Source organism: Homo sapiens, chromosome 15, assembly GCF_000001405.40.
Source record: "Homo sapiens chromosome 15, GRCh38.p14 Primary Assembly".
NCBI classification, from domain to species: Eukaryota; Metazoa; Chordata; class Mammalia; order Primates; family Hominidae; genus Homo; species Homo sapiens.
In genome coordinates, this window is record NC_000015.10 from 70,027,313 (window position 1) to 70,045,802 (window position 18,490).

Genomic DNA, 18,490 nt, shown 5'->3' on the forward strand with positions numbered 1-18,490 from the left:
CCCAGACCCTGCACTGGGCACTGAAGGTACAAGATGAACAAGACCCCATCTCTGCCTTCAAGAAGGTCAGTGTCTCTCTCTGAAAACCAAGTGTCTGGGCCCTGGTGGCTGGAGACAGAAGAGGACTGCATCATGGGGGAGGGAAGGATGACAGAGGGAGGCTGGTGTTCCCAATCCCTGAAGGATTCGAGGTTCTTTTCTCATAACCAGGAGGTCCTTCAGGACCCTGTGGATGAGCCTCAGACAAAGCACCTGCCTCCATGTTTTCTCCTCTTAATTATTTACTGAGCAGTTATGTGCCAGTGTGCCAAGTGCTTTACACATATGAATTCATCTAATTCTCCCAATAATTCCATGGGATAGGTGTTATTGTGTATCTATCTCTATTGGACAGGTGAGGAAGATGGAGCTCAGAGAGGTGAAGTAACTGGCTCAAGGTCACACAGCTATTAGATGCTGGAACCACACTAGACACAGCAGCCAGGTCCAGGGGCTGCACTCTCACCCACCGTGGTAATGGCTTCTCTAACAGGGATGACATGTATAGCACAGGTCTCCACAAAGTGTCAGTGTTGGGAATCTTCCTAACATGCCTTTTGCTCTATTTTATACTTGAGAAGTTAAGCTGCTAGCATAATAATCCTTAATATTCATTGATTAATTTGTAGGTGCCAAGAACTGCTCAGAATACTTTATATACTTTAACTAACTTCATCCTCACAACAACTCCATGGGGTGGACACTATTATTACCTCAATTTAACAAAGGAAGAAACTGAGGCACAGAGGGGCTAAGCATCTTTATTAGTCAGAGTTTTCCAGAGAAACAGAACCAATAGGATAGATAAATTGTTTGATAAATAGATAGATTGATTGATTATAGGAACTGGCTCACGCAATTACAGAAGCTAAGAAGTCCCACGATCTGTCATCTGTAAGCTAGAGAACCAGAAGACTGGCGGCATAATTCAGTCTGAGTCCAAGTCCCAAGGCCTAAGAGTGGGTGGGTGGGGTGGGGATGGGGGCCTAAGTACTTTTCCGAGGCCCAAGGCCTGAGAACCAGGAGTGCCAATGTCCACGGGCAGGAGAAGATGAATGTCCTAGCTCAAACAGAAAATAAATTCTCCCTTTCCCCTGCCTTTCATTCTATTCAGGCCCTCAGTGGACTGGATGGTGCCCACCTGCTCTGGTGAGGGTGGTCTTCTCACTCACTTGATTGATTGAAATGCTGATCTCTTCCAGAAACACCCTCACAGATACACGCAGAAATAGTTTTATCAGCTATCTGAGCATTCCTTAGCCCAGTCAAGCTGATACATAAAATCAACCATCACAGCACCTGGGTGATTCCCCAGGTGATCACTGGCGAAGCTGCCATTTGAACCCAGGAAGTCTGGCTCTATAGAATCTGTGTTCACAGCCACTCCACTCCACTGCCTATGAATGTGGAAAGTTAGCAAAGAGAAGAGCCGCGGGTCAAAGCCAGGTCTGTAGACCACCTGTGCCTGAGCTTAGCCATTGTGCTGTGATACCTGCCCTGCCCTATCTGAGATACTTTTCCAGGTTAGGGATTCCAAGCAGAACTCCAAGCCTCTAGTTCTCTACCTGCCAAGGCAGTGAGTCCATTCTTCCTGGGCTTCTCTTCCTCTAAACAGGCTAGAAGCCTTTCGGGGTTTCTCCCACCTGTCTTGCTTACCTGGGCCTGCCCTGTCATGGAGCTTACCAGTCCTCCCAGCCTTCCGGTCAGATATGAGCTCCTGCTAGACCCCTGGGTTGTGAATCTCTGACTATGGAGCCATCCATAGTTCATTTGGGGAGTTCTGGACCCTTTCCGAGGTTTGTGCCCATAGACAGAATCTGAGCTCTCTTTTCTTGGTCTGGTTTTGCACTCAGCTTTCCTAAAATCAGGAGCCCTTGTCCACTGACAAGGGTCTGGCTCTCCTTCTCTTCTGAAGCTTCTGGGCCACTTTTTCCCTTGCCCTACCCCTGCTTCACTTCACCCATCAGTTCCTCCTAAGGTCACATAATCAGTCTGAACCATGGTGCCCTGATCACTCCCCACCCTCCTGAGCGAAGCCCTGGGTGGCACCAAGCCCACTGGGAAAAAGGCCATGTTGAATGGAAGCAGCTGTGGCAGCTGCCTCCTGTACCTCATCCTGCACAGCTGGGCCCAGGTCGGCCTGACCCAGAGTGGCACTGTGGCTTAGCTGAGCACTTGATGGCCAAGGGTATCCTGGCAGAGTCAGACAAGAGGAGGCTTCCCCAGTATCCTCTAGAGGCAGCACAAAGAAGGGGCCAGACAGATGGCACTCTCCAGGCCTCCTTTGGATCCTGCTCCATGACCTTGGACAGCTGACCTAATCCATGTCCCAGCTTCGCCTTCTGGAAAATGGGGGACATGGTAAACACCTCCAGGGCAGCTGCAAAGATTAAACCCTGACTGCTTGGCAGAAGGTGAAAGGACTCTTGCAGGTCTCTTTCAGCTCCACCAGCTAAGGATTCTGTGAAAACCATGGAGGGAGTCTGTGGTCAGGCTGCATAATGTGGGCATCACATTTCCTGAAAAAACAAAAGACAAGAGGTCACTGACCATTGCCATTTGTGGCACTCTTCAAGAGGAAGCTCTAGCTTCATCCAAAAATACCTCTGTGCAGGAGTCGGGGTGCCACTGCAGAGCCTGCCCTGGAGTTAAGCATTGTCCTGTCTAGCCATCTCATTTGAAAAGAAATGTGTCCTGTCTTAGGAAAGGCAGCAACACAGCAATAGTGGCACCTATGTGGGAGAGAAGCACAGGACTGAAAGTCAGGATAAGGCACAAAGGGGGGCTGAGATCAGCCTGGAAGACAAACCTCACCAACTCCCAAGGTGGCTGAGGGCCAGCTTGGGGTGGCCACACACCTTGGCAAAGTACTTCATACTTCATATGGGCAGTACTTGACTGTTCACAAAGCCCCTTTTGACCTATGCACTCCTCAAACCTCGTAACTCTAGGAGATAGCTTTATTTAGGCCCACTTCACAGATGAAGAAACTCAGGACGAGACAAAGTGACTCCCCTGATGTCAACAGTGTACCAGCGGCAGATCCAGGGCTTGGATCCAGCTCTGCCCCCTGCATTGCTCACTGCCTGGACCTACCAAGAAGAAGCTGTGTCCAGCTGCCCAATCCCAGTGCCATTGCATCCCCTATGGGGAAAACTTGAAGGAGTCCAAAGGCCGTAGGCCAGCAACCATGTGTCTACACCACAAGTAGTTAGGATTCTCCAGGTCCAGTTAGAGGCCTACGTCCCTGGGAAAGTTCTGGGTGCCAACGAGAGAAATAAAAAATGCAGTGAGTGGTCCAGCTCCAGCCACCTCCTTCTCCCTCTGTCTTTCCCTTAGGGAAACCTCAGATAGTTTCCAAGAGAAGAGTAATGAATGAACACCTTCTAAGACAGTGGATTACCCCAGGCTGTCAGGACCACACTGGCAGCAGGGCTAGAAGAAGAGCCCATAATGGAGTCAGCCAAGTCACTAGAAAGGATACAGGGACATAGGAGACTGCCAGCCTCACCCCAATCAGGGGTCCTCCTGGGCTCATGGGAATGGCCACCTCCTTCCTCCTCCCTCCTTTCTGTATCTCTGGCCTATGCTGAACACCCTATAGCAGAACCTACACCCCACACCCTATGCATTCCTGACACCCTACAGCAGAAGCACCAGAGGCTGGGGGCCAGCATGCTGTGTCTAGGGTATGGGGACTGAAGGACAGGTAAGACCTCCACAGAGTAGACCTGTGCCCCAGCCCTGGAGAAAGCAGCAGCAGCTCCGGAGGGCAGGCCTGATGCCGGGGATGGAAGGAGGTGACTGGCCAAGCACTATGACCTGACATTTTCTGGGCGAGCAGTGGCTTATATGAGTTCCGTGTGTTATGGGTCTGTCTGTGGCGTCCATCTGTAAGAGGAGGGTCTTAGTCTCTAGGAGCTGCACAGCTTCGGGATCCATGTGATCTTCCTAAGGCAAGAAAGAAGAATCCCTCCCCTTCAGGTCAAAGGCCTTGCCTTGCCAGTGAAGTCCAGATGGACAAGTCCAGTACCGGGCGGTGCACAGTGGAGAGGGCAACCACTATGTTGCAGAGATCAGTGATGTCATGGGTATGCCCACACATGTGTGGGGTGTGTCTGCAGGGGTGATGCATGGGGATAGGTCAGCTGTCCGGGGAAGCCCTGAAGTGTGTCAAGGAATGGGGCTGTGTGTGTCTCATTCATCCCCCAGTGCCAACCACAGTGCATGGGAAGCATTAGCCTGCACCATCGCCTAACTGTGTGACCCTGGGCAAGTTACTTACCCTCTCTTGCTTCAGATTCCTCTTCTGTAAAATGGAGCTGGTGCTGGGGTTGTGGGGAGGATTTGATGAGACAGTGAGAGGGTGCAGTACGCTTTCCTTACCAATGTCCCTTGTGCCTACAGAGCATCAGGAAACATGGAGCCTGGCACCTGGGGTCCTCCTGGGGAAGAAAGGACTTTTGATCCTAGAAACCAGAACCATCATCAAAAGAGAAGGCCAAAGGCACTGGAAACCTGAAACCTGGAGAATGCTGTTTACTGAGAACACTTCACAAAAGTCATCATTGTTTTCTCTGAGAAGCAGTTCTCTAAAGGGCCCTTGAAATACCTTACCAAGAAATACTCCAAGAAGAACAATCATTGCAACTTCCTTGGAGAGCTGCCTCAAGCAAGGAGACTCGTAAGCCCCCTTCCATCTAGATGTGGAGAGGTGAAGGTGGGTCTGAGGCAGAGGACTGAGTTGAGTCCTGCTGGAGAGCTTGGCTTTAAAAATGCAGGATTGAAGGCACTGAAACATCTATTTACAAATGGCTTTTACCTTATTGGTGTAGAAAAGGACTGTACTGTGTCACAAAAGAAAATAAACTTAGCACAGAAACATTAAGCCTAACACATACTAAGTGCTCAATAAATGTCACGTATAATCATAATTATTTGTGCATTATAAAATATTACTATTATTTATAGACATATAAATATTTCTATATAAGTATACATAATATGTGTATTGATAATAACAATACTATTGTCACTTAATAAAAAATAAATGCTGCTATCTGGAAGAGTGGGAGAAACTACTGGGCGACCTTGAAATTTATTATTTTAGACCAGAGAATCAGTGCTCAGAGGAGAAATTTGGGAGGATGAGACCAGCCAAGGTGGTGCAGACTGTCAGGCTGGAGCTGGGAGAAGCCCTGTCTGCTGTCCACCATACTCCAGCCCTGCCCCAGGACCACAGCCTGCAAAGGGATCAGCACCCCCAACCCCTACCCGATGGTGTCTCCTGGCCAGGGCAACTGCTGTTGGTCTCACTAGCACCTCCCTCTGCCCTTACTCAGGGAGCCTCTCTGGAGGTTAATCTGTGTCAACTCAGCCCTACAGCCACACTAGCTGCTGGCCCACCCTCCTGGGACCCCAACACCACCAGAGATGGCAGACCACCCCAGAAGGCTCCCCTTACCCTTCACTTACAGATGGGGCAGTGTCTTGCCTAGGGCCCCCGAACTCATAAGGGGCAGCAGCCCAAAGGGCCATGGGAACCAGGGACAGTCCTATCCAGAGATGCCACAGGGGACTTGGTGGCTACTCTCCTGAAATAGGCAAACCTAGTCCCAACATTCCCTCTCCCTGGATGGACACTGTCATGTTGTAACGAAAAAGAACATTACAGTTCGAGAGACAATTTTGCTTTTCTCCTGGGCACCAGGGGACTGGAGAAAGCACAGAGAAGGGTGTTCAAAATTTACTTTATTTGCATACTTAGGAGGGGGCCAACAGACTCAGCCCCCACCGGGTTTGAAGCAGGGCAGCCCACTAGCTGGTTGCTTGTGTTTGGGAGGTCCATTGAGCTCCCTGGGCCTCAGTTGCCTCCTCTGTAAAATGGGAGTAATTGGGAGCCACTTCCTGGATCAGCCTCTGGAGGTCAAGTGAGGCTAGGCTTGTAGTAAGGCACCGGGCACAGACGCACAGGGATGGGTGCGGGAGGCAGCGGCTGTCATTCCATTGGCGTGGTAAAACGTCTGAAAGAATATTCACCAAAATGTAAAGTAGTGGGGCAGGGAGGTTATCGCCGAGGGGCAGGATTTCGGTGATTCTCATTCCTTTTCTTCTTTTCCTTTTCTTTTGGCTTATCTGAATTTCCCAAATATTCCACAATGTTCCTGAATGCATTGTGTCACTTGAAAATGATAATAAGGGAAAAACAAGCACTAAGCCCTGCTGTGGTGTGTGGCCGCCTCCATGCTGGGGGAAGGGAGCCCAGGGCAGTGGCAAAGCCCAGGCCCAGCGCCCCAGGCGCGGGGGAAGGCGATGCCCCCTCCCCGGGGCAGGGAGGACCCCCTACCCCAGCGGGCGGGCGGGCCCAGCCCCGCTCACTCGCTCCGGCTGCGCCTGGCTCAGACAATGCGAACACACAATCATTCATTATAACTCAATTACAGTGATTAAAGCTGGTGGCATGCAGAGGCAGGAGGGAGTGTTGCCAACAAAATTTACACTCCGTGTCATCAGCGAGAGATAACAGCAGCTGACGCGGCCGATCGCCTCCCCTGCCATCTGCTCAGTGCGGGGGCCGCCCGAGGGGCGAGGGCCGCTGCGCGCTAATGGTGGACCGTGGAGCAGAGAGCTGCGGAGATGGGCTGCCTCGGGCTGGGACTGGGATAGCAGCAGCGCTGGCTAGACAAGCCAGCCGCCACCCCTCCCTGCAGAATTGGCCGCCCCCCGAAACTCGGCATCTGGAATGGGGCTGTGGGGAGGCCAGGGTGCTACTGTTCTGGGTTGGGCCCACCATGGCAGAGGGTGGGATTCTGACGTCTGGTTTCCACCCCGCTGTTTCAGATGAGGAAACTGAGGCACAGATGCGCAAAGAATCACACCCAGTAATCCTGGGGCACAGCCAAAACTTAGGCCTGCTCTGGGAATGGTGCAGAGAGGGAGGCAGGGAGCTGAGGACACTCTGGACTACAGGGAGAGGGAAGTTGGCCAGGGTGAGGCCTGAGACCCTGGAGGCCCAGAGGCATCAAGAATGGTGGCAGGAGGGCCCACAGGGCAATACATGGAGCACTAGGCACAGGGCAGGGCTGCTGGGGGAATGTCACGGGTGGGGGAGAGATGGCTGGCCTGTGTCAGGTGGGCTCTGGCCACAGTGACCAAGAGAAACTCAGGGGGAAGGGTTGGAGGCAGAAGCCCACAGCTGACATCTGTGCTACCACAAGGTAGAAGGTTGGGGAGGGTAAGCTGCCTTTCAAGGGGTAGCAATGACGCAGGCCATCCCAGAACACTAGGCTTCCAGCTTTGCCAGCCGCAGGAAACAGGGCACCTGTTCAATGGACCAGCAGATGTAGCTGGTCTCCCATCTGGGAGAGTCTCCCCTCTGAGTCCTGTTGAGCAGCAGTGGGACATGGAAGGTGAAAGATGGGTTCAGGCCCCTCTTCCCCTGGTTATGCACTGGGTACATTCTTCTGGCTGTGCCATGCTCTGAGGCTACCGTCACCGTGCTAGTGCCCACGCTGCCAGCTGCCTGGCGTCCTCCTCTCTGCCTTGCCCTGACACCACAAGTAGAGCTTGTTTCCCAATGGCCGAATTCCACCCAGAGTCTCCTTGTTATACTGTCAGAGGCTCCTTGGTTCCCCCAGAGTCCATCTCAGTCCTCAGCATTCTCCTGTCACCCTCACCCTCCCTCAGGAGCCTCTGCACATGCCACACTGCCCCTCCTCCATGGCCTTCCTCATCCCCCTCATCCTTCAGAGCGCAGCTCAGACCTTACCTCTTCCAGGAAGCCATCCTGGCCCTGGGGGCCCGTGGGTGCCTGTCCTTTGGACTTCCATGCCCCTGTGCCAGTTAGTGCCCTAGGAGCACTGGTCATGGAATATTAGGGTCATCTGGGGATGGGGCCGTTCCCCACCCCCAACCCTGGCAGCAGCTTGGGGGCAGAGGCTGGGTCCTGTTCATCTCTGAAGTCTGGGGCCCAAACCGAGTGGGTCTCTGGAAATGTTTGTTGACTGGATAGAGGCTGAATGACTGTGTGCCAGGATGGCCAGACAGGACCTGACACAATAACTGTCTCACGAGGCCTGGCTCAGGTGAGTGCAGAACAGAGCCCACAGATGGGGCAGAGATCAGTGTCCTCAGAGTGAAAAGCTAGGGCAGGAAGCTCAAGGGACGGGAGCCACTCTCCTGCCGGCTCGGGCCTCTCCCCACATCCATTTGGAGCCCCTCAGTTCCTGCCCATACGACCCCACTCTGTGCTCACCAGCTCTCCCACCCCAGGTGGCAGGGCAGGGCTGATGGCTCAGAATGGACCCTCAGAGCTGCTGACTGGAGGCCGAAGGAAAGAGGGAAGAGGGAGGCAGTTGCCCTCTCTCTCCCCCTGCACATCGCAGGTCAGGCCACCTAGAGACTAGGACATAACCAGCTGCAGATAGCAGAGAAAGAATGAGATCCAGGCAGGGCCACATGGCCCTGCTCAAGATGCACAATCCCCTGAATTCCCCAAGAAGAACTGAAAGAGGAAGCTGAGGAGGGGTGGTGGAGGCTGGGGATGGGGTGAGGAGCTCTGCAACACAGAAACACTCAAGAGTCAAGAAGCCTGGGTGTTCGTTTCAGTCTCGACTCGAGGTTGTGTGAAGTCACCCATTCCTTCGTTCTGCACACGGTGCAAGGCACTGGGGATACCAGAGGGACTGAGCTTGACAGAGGTCCTGCTTCCATGAAACTTTCAATTCCAAGTCACTGTGTTCTCTGGGCCTCAGTGTCCCCATCTGTAACAAAGATATTGGACTAGATCTGGCTTTCCCAAGCTGTGGCACAGAGGAGAGTTTTGTAAGAAAGATGACGAGGCATTGAAAACCATGGGCTGCAGAGCAGGAAATTATTCTCTTCCCAATTCTCATTCAATCATTTCTGATTTGGACAAGGCGCAGGTTTCATTTGGGTGCGAATGTCCAACACAGCTCTCAAACACTGGGTCATCTCCCTTTTTTAACAAGGAAGGAGTGAGAACTTGAGGTACAGCTACTTAGAATTGTTTTCATTGCATTTACAAGTATGCAGACTTTTAAATTTAAGGTAAGGAATATTGGTATTTTATTTATGATAATATATAAAGTTTCCTTTTAAAATCTTTACATTTAGGCTTTAAAAAGTAAACTTATTTTTTTAAACCTATGAGGTAAATCATAGGCTGGTGGGTTCTAGACCAGGGCAAATATCATTAGATGACTGCGATTCTTTGATTGCGTAGGTCTAGGTAGCTCTGTCCATGTTGGTGGGTAGGACTTAGAGGCCTGAACACCTGCGCCTCCTGGAACTGAGCCAGCAGGGCCAGAGGAGGGTGCCTCACACTGATAGAAAGGTGATGGTGAGTCAAGTAGCAGTCTTGGGTAACATCTGTCCTTAGGGCTTCCTGGAGACTAGGGAGTGTGTCCCCAAACAAGCTTGAATGCAAATTACTTTCGTTGACAAACAAGCTGATCTACATAGTGCATGCACAGCAGTTGGCAGCAGTTTCCAAATAGTGCCCTGCACAGAGGGATGGCCTCTCTGTGCAGTATTCAGCAAAGTGATTCAGTACTGTGGGCTTCCTCCCTCCTCCCTTCCTCCCTCCCTCCACCTGCTGACCCTCCTGGGAGACACTAGAGGTTCTCTAAGGAGTAGCTCCAGCCCTAGCACAAGGAATCTACAAACTCTTCAGGCCCATCCAAGGACAAACTAGCTCAGAACTGCAGAGAGGCAAGCAGTTCAGGGACTGGCATGTCTAAAATGCCTTTCCCTCTATAAACCTACAACCCCGATGCACTCTTAAACACCTAGTCAAATGTGATCTCCTCTGGGAAGCCTTCATGAATACTTCCCCTTTTTGACCCTTCTGAGAGTTGCCTCTTCCCCCGATGAGGACCCCCACAATATGCTGTCCAGGCCACTAATTATTAATTAGTAGAATTTGTTTTTTCCACTAACAAGTGCATTCTGTGAGGGTATAGATCACTTACCTCTATATTTCGTGCCCCTAGCCTCCAACACTGGGTCTGTTCTGTCTATATTTATTGAATTAATGCATGGGTGTGTGGGCCGATATGCTTGGCTTACAATCCTGAGCAAATTTTCAGATTCTACTCACTCTACTTCTCCTTTTAAGGAAAGGAAACTTTTCATTGAAAGCATTCTTTTGGGCATTTAGTAACTGTTTACCAAACACCTATCAGATGACAGGTACTCCATTAGGAACTGGGAATAGAGAAGTGAACCAAACTTGATCTCTGCCCTCAAGAAATTCACAGTTGGTTGGTTGGAAAAATGAAGCAAGCAGCAAATGAATAGCAACAAGGGAAGAATTTGAAATTCATCTTCACTTAGGTGTAAACCACTCAGAATTTAATCTACTTAGCAAGGAGATACAGGTAGAAGATCAATGAGGTTAAATAAAAAAACCCTGTAACCCTGAATTTGAATTAGAAGCCTCAGTAGACCTCACGGTCTATTTATATATTAACAAATATATAAATATGCACATACACATTTCTTAGCTCTGCTACTGAAAAGGCCCAGAAACAATGATCATTTCATTAGCATCAAGCACCCCAAGCACCCAGATTATGGTCTCCAAATACCACTTTCCACTAAACAGAACCAAGGTTCATTGGAAAAAATGGCCAACTCCACATCCAGGATGGAAAATGTACAAGATGAGCCAGGGACATTGTCTTTTACCAGAAAGCATGGAAGCTCTCAAAGACTAGTATGGTCGTATTAAAAAGACTCAGGAGGCATCTTCAAGAGGATCCCCAAGTAGGATGATTTCAGAAGCAATAAAGATAACTCCACTTGACTCAAACATATCAAATATGTTTAAATTCACACATTCATAATGTTTTAAAAAAGAATACCTCATTGGTCAATTGCTGAGGATACTGAAGAATTAACTTATTATTTTGAAAATTGGCAAATAAAGCAAATGAATCAAGCATTCATCTTGCCTTTCCTGTATGAACTGTACTTCAAGGTAACCAAATGGTTGGTGTGGGGCAGTTTCTTTTTATAACAATATTCAAGCAAATGTTGCAATTGGAATCACCCTTATGTAGCCCCTAATGAGTTAATGAATCTACACAATGATCATCGGTGACTGCTAACATACAAAAGGAGAAGCATCTAGCTGCTATGTGTTTCCTAATGAATCTATGAAGTATTCTGCCTCCCTCCAAAATCAAGCCTGGATCTAATCAAGCTCCAAGATCTAACTACAATTTAGCAATCAGCAAAATTCAGACTATGTGAAGCTCTAAGGACAAATTTGGTTTTTTTTCCAGTAAATAAATATGTGTGTGTATGGATGTGTATGAGAGAGAGGATGTGATATGAAGCAGGAATCTAAAAGACATATCAATTTTGCTTGCTCTGTGTGGATCTTATTTGGATCCTAATTCAAATAAATACACTTTGTAAAAAGACTTATGAGACAATTGGGGATCTTTGAATACAGATTGGATATTTGATGATATAAGAAGTTATATTTTAGGTTTAGTGGTATTTGGTTACATTTTCAAAACAGGTCTTACGTTTTGGAAATAGTAAAATATGTGCTAATTTAATGATGAAATGTCTGGAATTTGCTACATAATACTCCAGTGGTGGTGACTGGTAGAGATGGGTGGGGTATAGATAAAAGAAGATTAGCCCTGAGTTGATAACTGTTGAAGCTGGTTGATGGGCACATGGAGATTCATTATTCTGTTCTCTCTACTTCTCTGTTTGGCATTTTTCATAATGAAAAGCTAAACAAATCTAATCCATGCTGTCTCTGCATGAGAGCACTGCCCCTGCACACTCACAAAATCATTAGAACCACAAAACATCCAAGCTGGAGAGGACCCAGGGATTGATTATTCACCTGCCTTCAAGCATCACATAAAGGATGAAAAGATCAAGGACTGGAGAGATCCCGTGACGTGACTAAGGTGATGTGGTGAGCCCGGGGCTTTGCTATCTGCCACTGGGCATGGGCACCCCCACCCCAGGCCCCCTTTGAGTCACCAGACACTATAACGGGGGCGAGTTCTTAAGTCTTTACTTTTCTGCCTTTTTAAAAAAAAATCTTTAATTATGAAATATTTCAAACATGTCACAAAGTACAGAAAATAACACGACCCTTCTAAAGCCACCACGCAGATTTTTAAAATGTGAACATTTTAACATTCTCTACAGAGTTTCTAAAAAGTAATAAAATGTGATAGGTATAGCTGAACTCCCGCTGACCTTTCCGTTTCTTCCCTCCCCACAGATAACCATTATCCTGGTGGTGTAGGGTGTTCTTTCTACTCATATATATATGTATATATATGCTCAAATATAGAATTGTTTTGTGGATTTCTATTTTATATAAATAGTATCATATCATGTATTTCCTTCCACAACTTGCTCTTTTCACACAACATTGTTTTTGAGATTTATCCAAACTGCTACAGAAAGATATAGCTTATGCATTTTAATGCCTATGTACAATTTTATTATAGGAAAATGCATAGATCTTTTAAAATCCATTCATCCATTAATGGACAGGTTGTTTCTAATTATTTTTGCTCAAACAAGGAGGCAATGAAGATTCTGTACATATCTCTTCATGGAGTTGTTGAAGAGTTTCTCCAGGGTGCATACCTGGAAGTAGATTTAGTGGGTCACAGGGTTGTGCTTTTCCTCCTTCATGATTGCCAAACTGCCTGGCAAGAGTAACCTATTAGTAATAGTAATAGTTGTTTGGCAACCACAAAGTGGTTGAACCAATTTATGCTCCCACAGTGTTTGACAATACTAGTCATTCACCACCCTCATGGAAGCTTCATATGATCAAACTCGAAAACTTGCCAGTCTAATGGGAATGGGTCGTTCCATTTCATTTTGTTTTGTAAATTTGCATTTCCCTGATAGCTGGTGAGATGAGGTATTTTCACGTGTTTGTTGAGCATTTCTGCTTCCTCTCCTGTGAATCACCTATTTATGTCCTCTACCCATTTTCCTCTCGAGTTGTTGGCTTTCAATGTACTGATTTGGAATAATTCATTATCTATTCCAGACACCACTTTTTTCGGTCAGTTGTAGGCATTGTGTTTATGTTTTTTCATGTTTTGTTACTTTATAGTATCTCTTGTTGTACAGGTATTTTAAAATTTAATATCATCAAATTGATCTTTATTTCATTATAGCTTTTGCTTACTGTCTTGTTCAATAATTTTTCCCATCCTCTGAGTCCTGAGGTTGTTCTCCAATATTCTGTACTATAAGCTTAAAAACCTTAATCCTTTGAGAATTTATTTTTGTGTACTGTGTGAGGTAGGGATCCATTTTCCCACCATGAAGATGGCCTGTTGCTCCAGAACTTATTGCTGAATAGTGCTTTTCTCCACTGATGCATAATGCCATCTATGTGGTAGTCACATTCTCACCTATATAGTAGTCTACTTATGGACTCTCTATTCAGCTCCATTGGTCTATTTGTCTGCACATGCAGCAAGAGCACACTTTCCTGCTTCCTGTAGCTTTACAGTAAGTCTTGATATCTGGCAGGCGAAGTTCTCCTCCCTCATTTCTCTTCAAAATTGTATTTGCTATTCTTGGTCCCTTACTCTTCATATAAATATCAGTATCAGATTATCAAATTACACAGAAAACATTCCATTTGGATTTGTTTAACATTGTATTTATAAATAGTTGTAAAATACAGCTTCTTAAATGAAAAAGCTCATAAATGACTATGGCATAGTTTGTGATATACAGAGGTCTTTTTACATTTAAATCTTCAATAAAATTTTGTATTTTTATCCTTAAAGATCTTACGTAGCTTTACTTGGATTGACTCATAGGTAGCTTTTACTATTATAAATGCATTTTTCTTTACATTTTCTAATTGGTTGCTGCTTGTGAATAGGAATGCTATTGATTAATGAAATTTGATCTTGGATCCAGCAACTTGACTAAACTCCCTTATTAAACAGTTTTATATTCTGTGTATATCTAGTCATATTATCTGCAAATAATTACAACTTTGTTTCTTTCACTTCAATCATGATACTTTTATTTATCCTTTTATTTTTTATGTTGTCCTATTGCATTGGCTAGACCCTCCAGCACAACGTTGAACAGAGACAGTAATAATGAATATTCTTGTGTTTAAAAAAAGTTTTTTAGAGATGGGATCTTGCTATGTTGCCCAGGCTAGTCTCCAACTCCTGGGCTCAGGTGATCCTCCTGCCTCAGACTCTCAAGTAGCTAGGACAACAGGTACACACTGCTGTCCTGGCTCATTGATTGTTTTTTATGACTTTAATATGATGCTTCTGAAACTTTACTGTTATCTATTATTTGGCTGCAGGTCTGATATAGCTATCCATTGTCAGATTAAAGTTTTCTTTGATTCCTGGTTTGTAACTTTAAGGGAGTCATGAATGGGTGTTGAATTTTGTAAAATGCTCTATCTGCTTCTTTTTACTGGTAAAACTTTCTAAGACTTCCAGGTGTTCTAGAAAATAATTTGCGGGCTCCAATAGTTGCTTGTAGGGTTCTATGTCTCAAGCTTGTTAATTATGTTGTTCATATCTTTTATAACCTTATAAATTTCTCACAGCTTGATCTACTAGTTCCTCTTAGTGGTATGATAAAACTTCCCATTCCTCCTTGTAATTCTGTCCATTTTTGCTTTATGTAGTTTTTGGGTATTGTTCTGAGCTAGGGATCTCCACTCTACCTTTAAAGTCTTTTATTTACCACATTAAAGGATTCCCCTTTCTTTCATGTAGATTAGCAAAATTGTTTTATTTTAATTTTATACAATATGTCTGTGTTCACATGGTCAAAGTGAATCCTTATTAGCTTGCTGTTTCATTTTCCTGAATTGGAAATTCTAGGCCCGATCTTTTCATCTTCTAACCTGTTGCCACCAAACATTTGCACAGGGCAGCTTCCATCTGTGATACCCTGTAGGGACAAGGCCATAGCCCCATCCTAACTCCCTCTCTTGCCTCAGCAGTCAGGAGCTCCCTAGGGCCCACTTCTGACCTGTCTGAGAGGGGAACTGGGTCCGGGTCAGGTTGAGCACACTGTGGGGTTTTCTGGGCATTCACAGAGGTACTCAAATGGATGTAAGAAAGGTCTGATTTAGCCAGGGGAGCTTCTGTCTCTTGGCTCTTCTTCCCATACTCTTCCACCTAAGATCACTGATCTCCTCTACACGTGGGATCAGTTCTTTCCAAGCTTCTACTCCAGTCCTCATGAGGCAGGCAGTCCACCACCTATCCTCCACTCACCCGCCAATCCTCTCATCCACTCATCCATCCACCTATCCATTCATCGATCCATTCAACCATCCATTCGTCTATCCATCCATTCCCCCATTCATCTATCCATCCATCTACCCATCCATCCATCCATCCATCCACCCATTTATCCATCCATCCATTCATCCATCCATCCATCCATCCATCCATCCATCCATCCAACCATCCATCCATCCATCCATCCTTTCATGCATCCATCTACTCATCCATCCATCCATCCATCCATTCATCCATCCATCCATCCAACCATTCAGCAGCAGTGTCATACAAACCTTACAAGCTGTGTGACCTTGGGGAACTTGAACTTCAGTTGTTTCATCCATAAAATGAGTATAATAATAGCAATGACCTCATAGGTCAGTTATGAGTATTAAACAATATTTATGAAGCACTGACTGACATGATTTACATGCACTAGCACTCTAGAAATATTAGTGTATTATCTTAATCACACACTCACTGATTCATTCAAGTAACATTTTCCTGAGTACCTACAATGCACTAAGCACTGGAGATATAAGACAAAGTCGCTGTTCTCTGAGAGCCCACTGTGTGGTGGGAGGGTCAGGTGGGCATCAGGAGACAGGATATCATTAAACCATACAGATGGTCCTTGACTTACAATGGGGTTATGTCCCAATAAACCCATCGTAAGTTGAAAAATTCTAAGTCAAAAATGCATTTAATGCCTGCAATCCCAGGACTTTGGGAGGCTGAGGCAGGTGGATCATAAGGTCAGGAGTTTGAGACAAGCCTGGCCAAGATGGTGTAACCCCATCTCTACTAAAAAACACAAAAATTAGCCCGGCATGGTGGCGGGCACGCGTAATCCCAGCTACTCCGGAGGCTGAGGCAGGAGAGTCTCTTGAACCCGGGAGGCGGAGTTTGCAGTGAGCTGAGATCACGCCACTGCACTCTAGCCTGGGTGACAGAGCAAGACTCCGTCTCAAAAAAAAAAATGCATTTAATACCCAATAAACTCATCATAAAATCAAAAGTCCTAAGTAGAACCATCTGTAATCATACTAACATTGTGCTTGGTATGTGCTACCTAAAGTTGGGAGAGAACACTCTCAGAGTACCAAGGAGTAGGGAAGTGGGCAGTCAGGGAAGGCTTCCTGGAAGAAGTGACATTGAGGCCTACTCCTGAAGAATGAGCAGAAATTCAAAGAAGGATGCACCACATTCAAGCTGAAAGAGAAGCACATGCAAAACCTAAAATGGGAGAGCATTGCTTTTCAGGGCATTGGAAGTACTGTGCTGCTGGTGTGTGAAGGGAAGCAAGATAAGTGGGGAGGGATGACTTTAGAGATACAGGGCCCACACCTAGATGAGTTAAGGGTGAGTTGTGCTGTGAAGAGGGCCAGTGAGGGGCTCCAAGATGGGCAATGATGGGGCCAGATGTGCAGTTTATAAAAGTAACTGTGTGAATGTGGTGGGAGCTTAGAATAGGTATATTACCCAGGTAAGGAACTGATCATGCACCATGATCCAATCACAGATCCCCGGGTCTTCTGATGCCAATTGTGTTGGGGACTCAGAGCCCTGGGGCATTATCATGGGCATTCTCAGACACTGAATTGCAGCCTCCTTCCATCTTCTCCCCATTCCTCTGCCTCTCCTGGTTCAGGCTGGAATTGTGGTCTCTGTCCAGCTCCCTCCTCCGGTTTCACCAGCCTGCTCAGCCAGAATCCTAGCCCAGCTTCTGGCCTGGAGGCTACTGGTGGGGGTGAGGGGTCGGGAAGTTGCAGCAAGAACTGGGATGTAAGAAGGCTGGATGGAGCTGGAGGGAGGAGCAAGAACTAGATGGGTTAGGTAGGGATGCATTGTTGGGACCATGCTCTCTTTTACCCCAGGCCTTAGCACATGCTGTTCCTTCCACCTGGAACACTTTTCTTCATACCTTTCATTGGCATGCCCATGGTATTCTTCACTTCTGTTTAGCTCTTGGTCCTTCCAGGACCCTCTTGCTCTGCCCTTCCATACTCAAGTCAATGCCTCAGCTATGTGTGGTGACATCTGGTTTGCACTTTCACATATCTCATGGAGTGGGAATTGTCAGTTTCTGTTTTCTCCCAGTTGGCTGAGAGCTCTAAGGGCAGGCACTGCATCTTACTATCTTTGCATCTTAGCATCGAGAACCATGCCAGGCACATATTAGATTCTTACTATATAAATGTTGGTAGGATGGACGGGTGAATAGGATGGCTAGATAGATGGATGGAAGAGTGAATGAAGGGGTATACGGATAAATGTGTGGGTGGGTAATGGATGGGTGGATAGATGGATAGAAGGATGGGCAAGATGGGTGGGTGGGTGAGTTCTAGGAAGTTCTTGAGGCAGGAGGCTGGTTTCCATGACTGTTCTGGGCCATCTCCTTTCCATGAGTAATTTCCTTACCAGTACTGTTGGTAGAGGAGCAGGAAGACTCATTCCCTGGATATTAATCCTCCAAGCAACATCAAGTCCTGTAGGCTGGGCAGTTCCCTCCTAGCTTTCCATCCTGAGTGTGCTAAGGGTTTAGGGGAGGGGGATGTTTCATCATAATGTTGGCTTGGACTCTGTGAGTCATGTTAAGTCACTTGCCCTCCCTGGGCCTTAATTGCCCCATCTATAAAATTGGGCTTAGTATAGATGTCTCTTCAAATATAAAAGGTCCAACTTTGGTATAATGTTTAAAAATGCTCCATTAATCATACAATTTTTTTAAAAGTTCAGATTTGTTTGCTTTATATTAAAAATGATGCTCATTTGTAAACACTGAATAAGTTATTGGGAAAAAAAATTACACTTGCATCATTATGGGCCATTTGATGGCCAGTACCTAACATTTAGCAGTCTTGCTAAGGATCCTTCTGGCTCCAGCGTCCAGATCTCTGTCTCCATACCTTCTCAGAGACCCTACAAGTTAGACAATTACTGCCCATGCTGGGGTTGGGGCCACCTGGGGGCTGCGACTCAGAGGGAAGCTAGAAAGGGTGGCTTTGTCAGCTATTGCCAAAGATGACCCAAATATTTGTTCTTTTTTTTTTGTTTTTTTTTTTTTGAGACGGTCTCGCTCTGTCGCCTAGACTGGAGTACAATGGCATGATCTGGGCTCACTGCAACATCCATCTCCCGGGTTC

General features: G+C 46.6%; 1 long non-coding RNA gene across 1 annotated transcript, besides 5 other annotated features; it reads right to left on the minus strand.

The window, feature by feature from the left end:
• Window positions 1–786: 786 nt before the first annotated feature.
• Window positions 787–4,950, minus strand: LOC124903518 (uncharacterized). The gene is made up of 2 exons (XR_007064697.1): window positions 2,644–4,950; window positions 787–2,558 (listed from the first exon to the last, which is right to left on the minus strand). It is a non-coding gene; the product is annotated as an uncharacterized LOC124903518 (long non-coding RNA).
• Window positions 4,921–5,533: an enhancer, noted in NCBI's record as "H3K4me1 hESC enhancer chr15:70324572-70325184 (GRCh37/hg19 assembly coordinates)". NCBI's record gives its function as "activates a minimal SCP1, AML or CMV promoter by ChIP-STARR-seq in naive H9 embryonic stem cells {active_cell/tissue: H9 hESC(naive)}" and the evidence as "EXISTENCE:reporter gene assay evidence [ECO:0000049][PMID:30033119]".
• Window positions 5,534–6,144: an enhancer, noted in NCBI's record as "H3K27ac-H3K4me1 hESC enhancer chr15:70325185-70325795 (GRCh37/hg19 assembly coordinates)". NCBI's record gives its function as "activates a minimal SCP1, AML or CMV promoter by ChIP-STARR-seq in naive H9 embryonic stem cells {active_cell/tissue: H9 hESC(naive)}" and the evidence as "EXISTENCE:reporter gene assay evidence [ECO:0000049][PMID:30033119]".
• Window positions 8,254–8,353: an enhancer, noted in NCBI's record as "active region_9668". NCBI's record gives its function as "activates an Ori minimal core promoter by ATAC-STARR-seq in GM12878 lymphoblastoid cells {active_cell/tissue: GM12878}" and the evidence as "EXISTENCE:reporter gene assay evidence [ECO:0000049][PMID:35858748]".
• Window positions 8,444–8,573: an enhancer, noted in NCBI's record as "active region_9669". NCBI's record gives its function as "activates an Ori minimal core promoter by ATAC-STARR-seq in GM12878 lymphoblastoid cells {active_cell/tissue: GM12878}" and the evidence as "EXISTENCE:reporter gene assay evidence [ECO:0000049][PMID:35858748]".
• Window positions 9,717–9,826: an enhancer, noted in NCBI's record as "active region_9670". NCBI's record gives its function as "activates an Ori minimal core promoter by ATAC-STARR-seq in GM12878 lymphoblastoid cells {active_cell/tissue: GM12878}" and the evidence as "EXISTENCE:reporter gene assay evidence [ECO:0000049][PMID:35858748]".